Raw genomic sequence first — 18,012 nt, 5'->3', positions numbered from 1 at the left:
AAGTCAGCATGACTGTATGAACCGTCTCCCAAATAAACTCATTAATATATTAGATCAGTCTCTTCAACACACTATTTAATCATTCTATTCTGTGCATGAGGAGATGGAATAATAAAGGACTTTTGTCTTTCCATTTGGAACCTTTGTGTTCTCCCTTATATCTATATAAGTTCCAGACTTTATTCAAGGGCCAACCCATGCCTCATCTTTTCCATGAAGTTCCTAGTAATGTAACTCTCTATCTTGTCTTTTCCCCTTTTATATTCTTTGGTGTTCTGTAGTGGTTGAGAGCAAATACTCAGAATTAGACAGCCTTACTTCAAATGTCAGCTGCATGACCCTGAGGAAGTTCCTTAACCTTTCTAAGTATGTTTCCTAATCTATAAACAAATACATTAAAGCATATGATATACTTCACTGGGCTTTGATTGAAAATTCCAGGTCATAATTCAGTTCAACTACTTAATATATAGCTGATACATACTAAAAATTCAATAAATATTGATATTTAGCTACATTTACTATTATCACATAATTTATTAATTCATGTGTTTAAACTGTGTCATGGGGGAAAATATATCTTCCTAATCACTATGCTACGTAAGCTTATCAAGGATAGGAACTATGTGCTACACTTGCTTTTAAATTTCTTATAAAATATAGCTTAGAAATGAGACACTGGATGAATATAAAATGTGAATTTTACTTAAGAATTTATATGGTGAAATTCAACGCCATTTTATATAGTATGATGATAAAACAATCACATTCTATTTGATCTTTCCATTTCTATTTGAAGATAGAACACTATCTTAGAAAATTAACTATCTGGTCAAATATAACCAGAAAGTCTCCTATGACATTTTAGTGAAAATGTCTCTATCTGTATCTACAGTATAACTCACAAATAAAAGACATAAAAAATAATAGAAAGAATGCTTTATGTTAGGGAAAAAATAAAATAAGACACTATAAATGCAATACATAAATATACGTCGAATATATATGTATTATGCAATACATAAATATATGTAGAAAATATATTTGTCCATATATAGTTTTATCCTAAAAGTATAACCATTAATATGCTCCATTTATTTCAAGTTGGACTTGGAATGTAACAAAATGCAACTTATTTTGGGCCTTGTTTTCAATATTCTTAATGAACAAAATTACATAGCAACATTAAATATTAAAATTCAAAGTCCAAATATAAATTTTCTAATTTAAACAGCAATTACCATACAGAAAGTATACTGGCTTCTACAGGGAGACTTTGCAAGCTGATGAGAATATTAATTATAATATACAATGAGAATTTTTAGACAGATGCTAACATCTCTCATGTCAACAAAACTATGTCTTACTATCATGAGTTAAGCTATTTAACTATAAAATCACATTTTCCCTCAGCAAAATACTATTGTAAGCTGGCATTAGAACAATTTACCCTTCCCTTAAGAAACTGGTATGTGCACAGAAAACATCTGGGGCAAAAAATAGTGAGAAGTAATTTAATACAGAAGTCAAATATTCCTCCACATAGGATTTTTCTAGCAATAACAAAACTATCTGCTTTCTTAAATTGAATCAATCTGCAAATGTTTACTAAAACAAATCTTTGCTTTTTAAATTAGATTTCTTCCATGAGACGAATAAAAAAATACACATTTTAACCACAAAGACTGACTTTCAAATGGCTGTTTTTAAAAATTATATTTTGCACAATTATTTTAATAATATACAGATAAAGGCAGCATTGATTTCATAAAGATGAAATAGAAGTGAGAATATTAATTGAATTTCTGATCTCTGGTACACATCTTTTATTTTCAAGTTGAGAATTACTATAGCTTTCATAAGCTGGTAAAAAATCTTGCCTCTGAAGATAACAATAATAGTTTCCATAATATTTTGATTTATCTAATGTTCTTATGTGCAAAATTAATTCTACTATCCATATTAAAAGTGGCATTTATGTGTTTCTCTTTGTATATGTATGTTTATACACACACACACACACACACACACACACACACAAACATAAACAATCAGCAAAACCACAAATCTCCTAGTCACCCAATTTGAAACATTAAAGTCATATTTTGACTTCCCTTATATCTAGTAAGTCACCTATTCTGGAAAATCAGTTGAAAATATACTTAGGATAATTTTTACTTACAGTTCCTTTCTGTCTTTCCTATAAATGCACATACACAAATACTTACACATACAAATAAAGTTGAAAATTCAACCGCATGCCATCCCTCCTGAAGCTATCTTAAGTTTGGTGTTTTTCCTTTCTCTTCATTTTAATTAATTACTACATATTGCTTTATGTTTCTTAGGCCATTGTCCTGGACAAGTTCCTTATCCAATCAGATCTATGTGACTATAATAGTCAATAGGGAATCTTATTAAATTCAGGCTTCTCTTATCTATAATACCTTTTATATAATACTGCAAGAATAACGCTTCCTAAATATCATTTCCATCACATCATGTTTTTGTTCTAAAATCTCCTTGTTGACTATTATCACATGTCTAAATAAAATTGTTTTTAAGATTCTTCATCATCCTCTGCAGGCCAATGAGCTTGGATGGATAGTTAACAACTTTCTAATTGAGTTGTTTTCTCCTCTCACAGGCCTCACATACCTTCTGTCTGAACTGTATCATCATTTTCCATTCCTTGGTTATCCAAACCTTCTGCATTTTAAAAATTACTTTTTCTTTATTAAATTTTCTTATTTTTTTGGAAAAAACTATCAGATTTAATTGCTGTGAACTCTAATTTTTGCTGAGGTTTAAATAATTGAGTATTTCTGCCTTAAGTCACATGGAACAAAAATATAGGGAACAAAACAAAATATTAGAAATATAAGAACACACTGAAGCAGCCAAGATGGCCGAATAGGAACAGCTCTGGTCTACAGCTCCCAGCGTGAGCAACACAGAAGATGGGTGATTTCTGCATTTCCATCTGAGGTACCGGGTTCATCTCACTAGGGAGTGCCAGACAATGGACGCAGGACAGTGGGTGCAGCGCATCCTGCGTGAGCCGAAGCAGGGCAAGGCATTGCCTCACTCGGGAAGCGCAAGGGGTCAGGGAGTTCCCTTTCCTAGTCAAAGAAAGGGGTGACAGATGGCACCTGGAAAATCGGGTCACTCCCGCCCTAATACTGCGCTTTTCCAATGGGCTTAAAAAACGGCACACCAGGAGATTATATCCTGCACCTGGCTCGGAGGGTTCTATGCCCATGGAGTCTCGCTGATTGCTAGCACAGCAGTCTGAGATCAAACTGCAAAGTGGCAGCCAGGCTGGGAGAGGGGCGCCCGCCATTGCCCAGGCTTGCTTAGGTAAACAAAGCAGCCAGGAAGCTCGAAATGGGTGGAGCCCACCACAGCTCAAGGAGGCCTGCCTGCCTCTGTAGGCTCCACCTCTGGGGGCTGGGCACAGACAAACAAAAAGACACCAGTAAACTCTGCAGACTTAAATGTCCCTGTCTGACAGCTTTGAAGAGAGCAGTGGCTCTCTCAGCATGCAGCTAGAGATCTGAGAATGGGCAGACTGCCTCCTCAAGTGGGTCCCTGACCCCTGACCCCCGAGCAGCCTAACTGGGAGGCACCCCCCAGTAGGGGCAGACTGACACCTCACATGGCCAGGTACTCCTCTGAGACACTTCCAGAGGAATGATCAGACAGCAGCATTCGCGGTTCATGAAAATCCACTGTTCTGCAGCCATCGCTGCTGTTACCCAGGCAAAGAGGGTCTGGAGTGGACCTCTAGCAAACTCCAACAGACCTGCAGCTAAGGGTCCTATCTGTTAGAAGGAAAACTAACAAACAGAAAGGACATCCACACCAAAAACCCATCTGTACGTCACCATCATCAAAGACCAGAAGTAGATAAAACCACAAAGATGGGGAAAAAACAGAGCAGAAAAACTGGAAACTCTAAAAAGCAGAGCGCCTCTCCTCCTCCAAAGGAACGCAGCTCCTCACCAGCAATGGAACAAAGCTGGACGGAGAATGACTTTGATGAGTTGAGAGAAGAAGGCTTCAGACGATCAAACTACTCCAACCTACAGGAGGAAATTCAAACCAAAGGCAAAGAAGTTGAAAACTTTGAAAAAAATTTAGACAAATGTAGAACTAGAATAACCAATACAGAGAAGTGCTTAAATGAGCTGATGGAGCTGAAAGCCAAGGCTCCAGAACTACATGAAGAATGCAGAAGTGTCAGGAGCCGATGCGATCAACTGGAAGAAAGAGTATCAGTGATGGAAGATGAAATGAATGAAATGAAGCGAGAGGGGAAGTTTAGAGAAAAAAGAATAAAAAGAAATGAACAAAGCCTCCAAGAAATATGGGACTATGTGAAAAGACCAAACCTACGTTTGATTGGTGTACCTGAAAGTGACGGGGTGAATGGAACCAAGTTGGAAAACACTCTGCAGGATATTATCCAGGAGAACTTCCCCAATCTAGCAAGGCAGGCCAACATTTGGATTCAGGAAATACAGAGAACGCCACAAAGATACTCCTCAAGAAGAGCTACTCCAAGACACATAATTGTCAGATTCACCAAAGCTGAAATGAAGGAAAAAATGTTAAGGGCAGCCAGAGAGAAAGGTCGGGTTACCCACAAAGGGAAGCCCATCAGACTAACAGCGGATCTCTCGGCAGAAACTCTACAAGCCAGAAGAGAGTGGGGGCCAATATTCAACATTCTTAAAGAAAAGAATTTTCAACCCAGAATTTCATATCCAGCCAAACTAAGCTTCAGAAGTGAAGGACAAATAAAATACTTTACAGACAAGCAAATGCTGAGAGATTTTGTCACCACCAGGCCTGCCCTAAAAGAGCTCCTGAAGGAGGCACTGAACATGGAAAGGAACAACCGGTACCAGCCACTGCAAAAACATGCCAAATTGTAAAGACCATTGAGGCTAGGAAGAAACTGCATCAACTAACGAGCAAAATAACCAGCTAACATCAAAATGACAGGATCAAATTCACACATAACAATATTAGCCTTAAATGTAAATGGGCTAAATGCTCCAATTAAAAGACACAGACTGGCAAATTGGATAAAGAGTCAAGACCCATCAGTGTGCTGTATTCAGGAAACCCATCTCACATGCAGACACACACATAGGCTCAAAATAAAAGGATGGAGGAAGATCTACCAAGCAAATGGAAAACAAAAAAAGGCAGGGATTGCAATCCTAGTCCCTGATAAAACAGACTTTAAACCAACAAAGATCAAAAGAGACAAAGAAGGACATTACATAATGGTAAAGGGTTCAATTCAACAAGAAGAGCTAACTATCCTAAATATATATGCACCCAATACAGGAGCACCCAGTTTCATAAAGCAAGTCCTGAGTGACTTACGAAGAGACTTAGACTCCCACACAATAATAGTGGGAGACTTTAACACCCCACTGTCAACATTAGACAGATCAACGAGACAGAAAGTTAACAAGGATACCCAGGAATTGAACTCAGCTCTGCACCAAGCGGACCTAATAGACATCTACAGAACTCTCCACGCCAAATCAACAGAATATACATTTTTTTCAGCACTGCACCACACCTATTCCAAAATTGACCACATACTTGGAAGTAAAGCTCTCCTCAGCAAATGTAAAAGAACAGAAATTATAACAAACTGTCTCTCAGACCACAGTGCAATCTAATTAGAACTGAGGATTAAAAAACGCACTCAAAACTGCTCAACTACATGGAAACTGAACAACCTGCTCCTGAATGACTACTGGATACATAAAGAAATGAAGGCAGAAATAAAGATGTTCTTTGAAACCAACAAGAACAAAGACACAACATACCAGAATCTCTGGGACGCATTCGAAGCACTGTGTAGAGGGAAATTTATAGCACTAAATGCCCATAAGAGAAAGCAGGAAAGATCCAAAATTGACCCCCTAACATCACAATTAAAAGAACTAGAAAAGCAAGGGCAAACACATTCAAAAGCTAACAGAAGGCAAGTAATAACTAAAATCAGAGCGGAACTGAAGGAAATAGAGACACAAAAAACCCTTCAAAAAATTAATGAATCCAGGAGCTGGTTTTTTGAAAGGATCACCAAAATTGATAGACCGCTAGCAAGACTAATAAAGAAGAAAAGAGAGAAGAATCAAATAGACGCAATAAAAAATGATAAAGCGGATATCACCACCGATCCCACAGAAAAACAAACTACCATCTGAGAATACTACAAACACCTCTATGCAAATAAACTAGAAAATCTAGAAGAAATGGATAAATTCCTCGACACAAACACTCTCCCAAGACTAAACCGGGAAGAAGTTGAATCTCTGAATAGACCAATAACAGGCTCTGAAATTGTGGCAATAATCAATAGCTTACCAACCAAAAAGAGTCCAGGACCAGATGGATTCACAGCCGAATTCTACCAGAGGTACAAGGAGGAACTGGTACCATTCCTTCTGAAACTATTCCAATCAACAGACAAAGAGGGAATCCTCCCTAACTCATTTTATGAGGCCAGCATCATCCTGATAACCAAAGCCGGGCAGAGACACAACCAAAAAAGAGAATTTTAGACCAATATCCTTGATGAACATTGAAGCAAAAATCCTCAATAAAATACTGGCAAACCGAATCCAGCAGCACATCAAAAAGCTTATCCACCATGATCAAGTGGGCTTCATCCCTGGGATGCAAGGCTGGTTCAATATACACAAATCAATAAATGTAATCCAGTATATAAACAGAACCAAAGACAAAAACCACATGATTATCTCAATAGATGCCGAAAAGGCCTTTGACAAAATTCAACAACTCTTCATGCTATTAACTCTCAATAAATTAGGTATTGATGGGACGTATCTCAAAATAATAAGAGCTATCTATGACAAACCCACAGCGAATATCATACTGAATGGGCAAAAACTGGAAGCATTCCCTTTGAAAACGGGCACAAGACAGGGATGCCCTCTCTCACCACTCCTATTCAACATAGTGTTGGACGTTCTGGCCAGGGAAATCAGGCAGGAGAAGGAAATAAAGGGTATTCAATTAGGAAAAGAGGAAGTCAAATTGTCCCTGTTTGCAGATGACATGACTGTATATCCAGAAAACTCTATTGTTTCAGCCCAAAATCTCCTTAAGCTGATAAGCAACTTCAGCAAAGTCTCAGGATACAAAATCAATGTACAAAAATCATGAGCATTCTTATACACCAATAACAGACAAACAGAGAGCCAAATCATGAGTGAACTCCCATTCACAATTGCTTCAAACAGAATAAAATACCTAGGAATCCAACTTACAAGGGACGTGAAGGACCTCTTCAAGGAGAACCATAAACCACTGCTCAAGGAAATAAAAGAGGATACAAAGAAATGGAAGAACATTCCATGCTCATGGGTAGGAAGAATCAATACCATGAAAATGGCCATACTGCCCAAGGTAATTTATAGATTCAATGCCATCCCCATCAAGCTACCAATGACTTTCTTCACAGAATTGGAAAAAACTACTTAAAGTTCATATGGAAGCAAAAAAGAGCCCGCACCACCAAGTCAATCCTAAGCCAAAAGAACAAAGCTGGAGGCATCACGCTACCTGACTTCAAACTATACTACAAGGCTACTGTAACGAAAACAGCATGGTACTGGTATCAAAACAGAGATATAGATCAATGGAATAGAACAGAGCCCTCAGAAATAACGCCGCATATCTACAACTATCTGATCTTTGATAAACCTGAGAAAAATAAGCAATGGGGAAAGGATTCCCTATTTAATAAATGGTGCTGGGAAAACTGGCTAGCCATATGTAGAAAGCTGAAACTGGATCCCTTCCTTACACCTTATACAAAAATTAATGCAAGATGGATTAAAGACTTAAACTTTAGACCTAAAACCATAAAAACCCTAGAAGAAAACCTAGGCATTACCATTCAGCACATAGGCATGGGCAGGGACTTCATGTCTAAAACACCAAAAGCAATGGCAACAAAAGCCAAAACTGACAAATGGTATCTAATTAAACTCAAGAGCTTCTGCACAGCAAAAGAAACTACCATCAGAGTGAACAGGCAACCTACAAAATGGGAGAAAATTTTCACAACCTACTCATCTGACAAAGGGCTAATATCCACAATCTACAATGAACTCAAACAAATTTACAAGAAAAAAACAAAACAACCCCATCAAAAACTGGGCGAAGGACATGAACAGACACTTCTCAAAAGAAGACATTTATGCAGCCAAAAGACACATGAAAAAATGCTCACCATCACTGGCTATCAGAGAAATGCAAATCAAAACCACAATGAGATACCATCTCACACCAGTTAGAATGGCAATCATTAAAAAGTCAGGAAACAACAGGTGCTGGAGAGGATGTGGAGAAATAGGAACATTTTTACACTGTTGGTGGGACTGTAAACTAGTTCAACCATTGTGGAAGTCAGTGTGGTGATTCCTCAGGGATCTAGAACTAGAAATACCATTTGACTCAGCCATCCCATTACTGGTTATATACCCAAAGGACTATAAATCATGCTGCTATAAAGACACGTGCACATGTATGTTTATTGCGGCACTATTCACAATAGCAAAGACTTGGAACCAACCCAAATGTCCAACAATGATAGACTGGATTAAGAAAATGTGGCACATATACACCATGGAATACTATGCAGCCATAAAAAATGATGAGTTCATGTCCTTTGTAGGGACATGGATGAAATTGGAAATCATCATTCTCAGTAAACTATCACAAGAACAAAAAACCAAACACTGCATATTCTCACTCATAGGTGGGAACTGAACAATGAGAACACATGGACACAGAAAGGGGAACATCACACTCTGGGGACTGTTGTGGGGAGGGGGGAAGGTGGAGGGTGGAGGGATAGCATTAGGAGATATACCTAACGTTAAATGACGAATTAATGGGTGCAGCACACCAGCATGGCACATGTATACATATGTAACTAACCTGCACATTGTGTACATGTACCCTAAAACTTAAAGTATAATAATAATAAAAATAAAAAATAAAAGCAAAATCCCAGCAAAAAAAAAAAGAAAGAAATATAAGAACACATTAACAACCATGATAGTGGATAATATTTTAAAAACCCTTTCAGGCCTACATAACTCAAGTAGGAAAAACATAAGTAAAAATATGATTACCAGGTAGATTTAGAAAGTGAAAATTAGATTTTCTGCTTTCTCAATTAGAATTTGCAAAAACAAACAAACAAATAGGTATTTGGTAAACTTGAATATATGAATTATTAAGTGTATAAATAAAATAGTAGCCAGGCTCCATACCTGTTTACCTATGATGCACATTCCTAGCAAAGAGTTTCATTGGCCCTCCTCTAACCAGAACTGGCTTGCTTGTCTACACTCTCCTTTCTGCTGTCTCCTTTCTGTGTCAGCCTGATTCTACACAAATTCATCTTACAAAGCTTGGTTCCAAATACACCTTCCTGTAAAACTGTCCTTCATCATGCCTTGATACAATGGCACTTCTAAATTCACACTGCCACATACTAGGAGATATATATATATATATATATAAAATTCCATTCAAATATATATATATATTCCATTCAAATATATATATTCCATTCAAATACATATATATGTATATAGTCATTCCATTCTCTAATGTAAAACCGTATATTTTAGTTTTCATTGGTACACAATTAGGTCCCGATAAATGCTGAAAATACCAACTTTAGAAAGTCAGAACATAGAATGGTGGTTGGTAGGGGCTGGAGAAATGTGGAGTTCCTGTTTAACGGCTATAGAGTTTCAGTTTTACAAAATGAAAATAATGCTAAAGATTCATTGCACAACAATGTAAATTCACTTACAGGGAAGAGAAAAACCTTTCCTCTACATTCTTAGGTTCTATAACTGGGGCTTGTGAATTAAACTAACAAAAAACAGATTAACCGGAAAAAAGGCATACACATTTTATTTGATTATAATCATTTGATTTTCACATGAACGGAGACCTTCATAGAAAAGAAGTGAAGACCCAAACAAGTAGTGACACTCAGTGGGTTTATATGACGTTTTAAAAAAGGGTGATAAATTGTGGAGAAGTGGCAAGACAAAGGAAAAGGGTTTGGGGCTTCTAAGGTGGGAAACTCTGTAATGCAGGAGGGAAACTAATGGATAATAAAGGTTATTTAGTGAGATTTGTTTATGCTGGCTTATCCTGACAGCATTTCTATTTCTGCTAATAAAGGTTGCTCTTCTCCTCCTGGTATGAGAGTGGGGGATGCTTTTATAAGTCAAATGTATGCCCTACTTTTAGGTAGATGGGGAAGAGTAGAGAGGTTTCCTGTGCCTGCTTTTCCTTAATTGCCTTCAGCTCAAAAGGATCTTTATGCTAAATTCGCATATTTTAGGGTAGCATATTCTGATGTCCTTTATACTTAACATTACTCAGCTATGTGCTTTAAAATAGTTAAAATTGTCAATTTTATGTTATGTATATAATACCACTTTTTTTTAGAAGTTGAAGGTAGTAGTGTCAGAAAATTAAATTACATAATGAAACTATGGAGGGGTAGTTCAAGTGTAAATAAAGGTTATGTGGCATGTTTTCTGCATACAACGTACTTAAATGTGTCTCTGAGAACATGCCTAGACATGTGTTACTCTACTTTCTTATTTGAAAGGAAACTTACAGTGTAACAGTGTTATTATCCCCCAAATGATAATAATACTTATATCCACATTCCTCAAGTGTGTATGTATATATGTGTGTGTATGTGTATGCGTGTGTGTGTGTGTATATATATATATATACACACACACACATACATTGTGCATATGTAAACATACAGGCATTCTAACATACCACTTTTAATTTGGATAGTGAAATTAATTCTACACATGAGCACATTACATAAATCAAATTATTAAAGAAATTATTAGTATCTTCACAGGGAAGATTTTTACCAGCATATAAATGTTGCAATAATTCTCAAATTAAAAAGAAAAGATGTGGAACAGAGATTGGAAATCCAATTAATATTCTCATTTTCTATTTCTCCTTTGTGCAATCAATGCTACATTTATCATATTTTAATTCATGGGAAAGGCAAACCTTATAAATGAGCACGTACTCACGAGATTGAGCACAGAAAAAATATATACTATGTCTTATTCCTACTTTATGTAGTAAATAAATTCTTTGTCCTTTGAGAGCAACTTATTCAAAATTTGTATGCTACAGCTCCTCTTCCACTAATAATGTAAGGCTGCTAGAGTCTTTTCCTCTTTATTGACTTGAAAGTGTGCATATGTAAGAAGCAGTTATTTGGCCTAGGATATAAAAAGCTAAAATAAATTTCCTATTTTCTCAATTTTTTCCTGATGAAAAATATTTAAATGCTAGCTGCATTATAACCTTCAAAAACACTCAATACCAGCCCTTGAAGTGTTATTAAATGACTGAATTCAAGTAAATGCTAAAGGACTTTAGGTTAAAAGCCAAACAAAATGGCATCTATTTATTTACTTTCTGACAACAGAAGCATTTAAACCCTGCTCTTCTGAAATCCAAAATATACAAATTTACAAATCTTAGCCCCATAATTGATGAGAAACATGCTAACAAATCTCTAATGCTGAGCCATTAGTTAATAGTCATTTTTCTCAACATTCTGAATCAGATAGGCTATTAAGATATTTACTTTAAAAATTTTATTTGTGGGGGAATGGGCAAAGGAGAGAGAGGGCTGGTTACAGCTGTCTAAAATTTTATTTATACATATAAATAAAATTTATATATAAATTTATATGTAAATTTTTAGTGTGTGTATATATATATATATATATAGATAGATAGATAGATAGATAGATAGATAGAGAGAGAGAGAGAGAGAGAGAGAACTACATAAATATCCCAGGAATGAAGGGCCTTCAAGAAGGTAAAACATTTCATAAGGCATCTGCCCTTAATTGTACTTAAAATATAAAAGTAACATAATTTCTTTGTAACTAGCATCTTCTATCAAAAAAATTAGGATTACATACAAATGTGTTGCGTGTATTAAAATATTAAATACTTTAAGTAAATTTTTATAAATATTTAAACATTCCTAGGGATAGATATTACAGAACAGAACTTCAATTTGTCCTGATGGTTATTCACAACTGCCTCCAAGAAAAACTATTTTTACCTAGTCTGTTCTCTGTGTAAACATAGCATATATGCTTAGATTTATTCCCCGAATACGTTTTCCAATATTTGTAAATTGATATTAGCGTCAAACATAACATTAAACTTTTTGGACAATTTTCTGAATTTAGCCAAAATAGTTTAAAGGTATAACGCAGTAAAATATGATTAGATATTTGAATGAATTCACATTTTGGATGACTCAGACACTTTCTAAGTATCAACTCAAGTTTTCCACTAAAATAAATTCAGCTTCTTCGTAAATTAATTATTTTAGAATCCTATTCTTTTTACATCTTTACATCAGTCATCACTTGTGCTAGCTTAATGTATCTATATCTTTTTAAGATATAATTATCCAAAAACTGAACTGTAACTGGCATATAATCAAATTATAAAAATATTTTCTAGATCAAATGAGTATTAACATTTCTACATCTTTTAAATAACAGTTTGGATATGTGACTCATGGTAAGTTTTTCAACATTAGTTGTTCCCAGGCAGTTCTACAATTGAGTCATTCAAGATGACTTGCAAATGTCCCTGGTAAACCTCATACACTGTGACTTGTCTAGGAATTTTGGATGGTATTACTGTTTTCTTACTTATAACATATACTGTAGTTTTATATAAAAATAAAATGAAAAGTTTTTTCATTAATATTATTTCAGAGACTATTTGTAAAACATGAAAATTCAAGCAATAATAACCACAGTATATACAGGATTTTATGTACTTTACATGCTAAGCAACTTGAATTATTCATTTAAAATGTTGGATTGCTCCACAGTTTAAGACTTACTCATAAACTTAGTATGCCAAGGGATCCTTTTTTTCTTAGAGTAAGACAACAAACTAGAGCTAAGAGATTCTTTTTTTTTTTTTTTTTTTTTTTTTTGAGACAGAGTCTTACTCTGTCACCCAGGCTGGAGTGCAGTGGCACAATCACGGCTCACTGCAACCTCTGCCTCCTGGGTTCAAGTGATTCTCCTGCCTCAGCCTCCTGAGTAGCTGGGATTACAGGCATGGGCCACCACACCTGGCTAATTTTTGTATTTGTAGTAGAGACGGGGTTTCACCATGTTGGCCAGGTTGGTCTCAAACCCGTGACTTCAGGTGATCTGCCCGCCTCAGCCTCCCACCCAAAGTGCTGGGATTACAGGTGTGAGCCACCGTGCCTGGCAGAGATTCTTAAAAGAAAAAAAAAAAATCACTGGCTATGAATATTTTAAACATTAGCTCAGTGAAGACTTATTTTTTTTTTAATTCATGGTTCTGATTTATTTGTATTCTGACAGTTGAAAGTCGAGATTTTTTAAAAACTTGAAATAGTGTTTACCTAGTTTTCTGGAATATATAAGTATCATAGCCACTCATTTTATCACACTACAGCAGAGGTTCCTGGGGCTGAAAACCAGTACTGGTCCTGGCCTGTTATAGGAACCCAGCCACACAGCAGGAGGTGAGCTGCCTGAGAGCAAGCATTATCACCTGAACTCAGTGTCCTGTCAGATCAGCCACTGCATTAGATTTTCATAAGAGCACAAACCCTATTGTGAACTGCGCATGCGAAGGATCTAGGCTGTGTGCTCCTTATGAGAATCTAATGCCTGATCAACTGAGTTAGAACAGTTTCGTCTTGAAATCACCCCCAACCCCCAATCCACCACCTCCAAATGTGTAAAAAAATTGTCTTCCACAAAACTGGTCCCCAGTGCCAAAAGGTTGGGGACCATTGCACTACAGCATACTACAGCATATAAAACAAAGTAATAAATGCAATGTTTAAACATTATAAACTTAGCATCTAAAATGCTCAAAATTGCTTCGAAGACTGTTTATTGTATATATTTTTTGTATATGCTTATTGTATGTACTTTTAAATGTATCTATATACAAACAAATATATATATATATATACACACACACACACACATATGCACAGGACTACATGTAAAATTATTTTTACATAATAATTTGCAATGCACAAATTTAATATTAAATGTTGAACTATTCCCCAGGGGCCAAAAATGTCCACAATATGTAATTACTTGTGATTTTGTTGAGAGAGACATTTCAAAAGTATACAATGGTTGTCACAAAGCAGTTGCTAAGATACCAAATAAACCTCTGACAATTACAAGCCCTGGAATCTCAACAGGGTTTTCTTTTTTCTTTTCCTTTCTTTTTTTTTTTTTTTTTTTTTTTTGAGACAGAGTTTCGCTCTTGTTGCCCAGGCTGGAGTGCAATGGCAAAATCTCGGCTCACTCCAACTTCTGCCTCTCAGGTTCAAGCAATTCTCCTGCCTCAGCCTCCTGAGTAGCTGGGATTACAGGCATGCAACACCACGCCTGGCTAATTTTGTATTTTTAGTGGAGATGGGGTTTTACCATATTGGTCAGGCTGCTCTCAAACTCCTGACCTAAGGTGATCCGCCTGCCTTGGCCTCCTAAAGTGCTAGGATTACAGGCATGAGCCACCAAGCCCAGCCAAGGTTTTCATATTATATGAAGTAATTCAGAAAGAAAAAAATAAGAGTTAGTAAATATGATGCTAATATCATGACACAGTAGTGTAATGTAGCCCACTAGAGGTGGCAAATTTTATTTGCATTAATTATGTTCTATTGCATGTAGAGAAAAATCACTAAGTGCTTAAAAGAACAATTTCTATTTACATGGAAGTGTGTCCTGCAGTATATTTGTAAACCTGGAGATTTTCTAAAATCTCAAGACACATCTTTTATTAATGCCAAGAGTTTGTTTTACGAGGACCATATATTAGAATTACAATTCTGCCACTAAATACTTTCATTTTATTACATCTGTTTAAAATATGTTCAACTATCTAGAGCATAGCTTACAGTTAATCACATAAAAGTTGAATTTTTCAACATCATTTTTCGTGCAATATTATTTCCAAGTGCATATTTCTTCCATAGCTGATAATTAAGCATTCTAATTATAAACAGCAGTATAAATTGCTGGAAACCATAATAAACCACTTTTATAGGGTGAAAGAGTCATATAGACAATGAGCTATTTTTGTGCTGGAAAAGCAATGCAGGTATACTTTTTATAAGCAAAGTATATGGACCTTTTTATGCAGTAAGGCAAATACAGCCATGCATTACCCAATGACAGATCACATATATGATGAGAGTCTCATAAGATTATAATGAATCAGAAAGATTCCTATTGCCTAGTGATGTTTGATGATCCTGACCCCGAATAGACCTAGGCTAATGTGTATGTTTGTGTCTTCGTTTTTAAAAGAAAAAATTGAAAATCACATTAAAAATGGAAAAAAACTAATAGAATAAGGATATAAAGAAAGAAAATATTTTTTACAGCTGTATAGTATGCTTGTGTTTTAAGGTAAGTATTAATACTAAACAGTTTAAAAGTGAAAAAAATTCAAGACTTTATGAAGTAAAAATATCACAGTAATGTAAGGTTAATTCATTACTGAAGAAAGAAATTTTAAAAAGAAATTTAGTATAACCTAAGTGTATAGTGTTTATAAAGTCTACAAGTAGCGTACAGTAATGCCCTAAGCCTTCACATTCACTACACACTCACTGACTCACCCAGAGCAACTTTCAGTCCTGCAAGCTCCATTCATGTTACATGACCTATACAAGTATACAAATTTTTATCTGTTACACCGTGTTTTTACTATACCTTTTCTATGTTTAGATACAAAAATACTTAACATAATGTTACATTTATCTCTAGTGTTCAGTACAGTAAAATGCTGTACAGAGTTACAGCCTAGAAACAATAGGCTACATTATATAACCTAGAAATGTAGTAGTCTATACCATATAGGTTTGTGTAAGTACACCTATGATGCTTACACAATGACAAAATTGCCTAATGACATATTTTCCAGAACATTTCTGCAGTGTTAAGCAATATACGACTGTAATCTACTAAAGAGCATATTTGCTCTGAATCTGGTACGATAAAGAAAGCACAACAAAATGACAACAACAAAAAACATCTCACATAGAAAAACCTGTTTGGCCTGAGTATTTTGCAGCATCTTTGCAAGTAACGTATTTTTCTTTGCCAGGGAAGAAAATAGTTCGCCTTTTTCAGCATATGCATGCACAATAAATTCCTGCTATGTGATAGGTACTCAGAACCACACATTGCTAGAATTGATATAATCTGAGTTAGCTCAAGTTCTGAGATTCTGAAATATGGTGATTATGAATATAAAAGATTATATAACAAATGCAAACTTACCCTTCTAATCTTACATCTGGCAGACTTCTATTAAGGGCAATCAAATCACTGGCCATAAGGTTAAACTGATTGATTTTAAACAGCTCTTTCATTTTCTCCTGGTCATCTTTAGGAATCAACACAGCTTTTCCCATTTCTCCTGGCCCTTCTTGGTTTCTTGAAATAACAGCTGTAAGACATACAGAGATACAGACATACATACAAACACACAGATAATGAACTGAATAAATAAACTTGTGTGTCTGATTAGATTCTGAAGCATATTATTTACATACAGGTTTTATAATATAATGATCAAGATTTTACTGATTATAAACCACACACTCTGCTAAAGAAAAACATCAATTCTGCGTATTATCTTCCAAGTTTAGATAAATTATATGATGACTAAACATTAAGACAATAATTCTAAATGTACAAAATACCCAATCTTAAAACTTCTGTCATATATTTCATACACTATTAGAGAAAACTGAAGTTGAACACTAGGCAGACAAAATAATGCAAAATAAAAGAACTTTAAAGAATACTAAGATTAATTTATTTTCACATCCAATTAAATGTTTTGATATTTCACATATCTACTGCCATTACATCTTTATAAAGGCAAACAAAACTAAACATTTTGAATTGTGTCAAAAGAAGCTTCATAGTGGTGACACATAACTTCAAATGTCAAGTTGAAATTTGGATACTATGTGCTCTATAATTGAAACTTCACAATAATATTCTGGGCTTGAATATTCGTGAAGAGAACGCAGGATTTGATATATAGGCTAATTTTCTCGCCACTTCTCCCAAGTTATCACTACACTAAAGTCCCTTCTAGATCTAAAGTATACGTTTCAAGGGGTGTGTGTGTGTGTGTGTGTGTGTGTGTGTGTTGCCTACACATACCTGTATGCATGCTAATATATAGTAATAAGACAAAGTGCCAGTTGGCCCAAATGCATCCTGAAGTTACTCTTCAGAGTGATATTAAATTAGGTTAAAGTGAAAGGAATGTGGTTCTGGTCTCGACTCTTCCAATGTCTCGACTCTTCCAATGTTCTGCTATATTATAGTTCCTAACACATTAATCTTACTGAGTTTAATTTCCATATAAATTAAAAGGCACATATTTAGGCACAGCATACCTTGAAATACTGAAAAAAAATAAGGACTATAATGCATATGAAAATAATTTTTAAGTTAGAACATTTCATTAAAAACATAAATTCTAAAATAATGTATGAATATGGTAAAAACTAGGATAGAACACATCCAGCAAATTTTGCTCTGAGCCAACCATCATAGCCACAAAACAGCAAAACTGGTATTATTAGCATGAATACACAGTTGACCATCCAGTTGATGACTTTGTAATGGCATGAGTCAAACCATATAAGAGAATAGGCATCTCTAAGGACCTTTAGATATGGGTAAAAAAAAGTGATTGGCCTTGAAATCCTCTCACATATATAAAAATAGTTAGAACTGGAAACATTGAATATAGAAAAAAATATGTATTCAATTTCAAACTATTTAAAAAGTTGTCATCAAA

The 18,012-nt window shown here is 35.3% G+C and overlaps 1 protein-coding gene across 20 annotated transcripts in view; it reads right to left on the bottom strand.

The window, feature by feature from the left end:
* The window catches only part of GALNT13 (polypeptide N-acetylgalactosaminyltransferase 13), a 1,388,282-nt gene that overhangs the window by 299,600 nt on the left and 1,070,670 nt on the right, over positions 1-18,012 (bottom strand). For 17 of the 20 annotated variants that reach the window (XR_007069045.1, NM_001422882.1, NM_001422881.1 and 14 more), the window contains one exon: positions 16,470-16,638. The exons of 1 other annotated variant lie outside the window; for it this stretch is intronic. Coding sequence is in view for 16 of the 19 variants with exons in the window: in NM_001422882.1 (NP_001409811.1) it covers positions 16,470-16,638 (169 nt within the window). In the remaining 3 variants the exon portion in view is untranslated. Of the gene's footprint in view, positions 1-16,469; positions 16,639-18,012 lie in introns of those variants that run through there. 2 more of the 20 variants (XM_011510538.3, XM_047443121.1) reach the window with 1 other exon arrangement.

This window comes from Homo sapiens, chromosome 2 (assembly GCF_000001405.40).
Source record: "Homo sapiens chromosome 2, GRCh38.p14 Primary Assembly".
NCBI lineage: Eukaryota > Metazoa > Chordata > Mammalia > Primates > Hominidae > Homo > Homo sapiens.
This window is presented reverse-complemented; position numbering and strand designations above follow the sequence as displayed.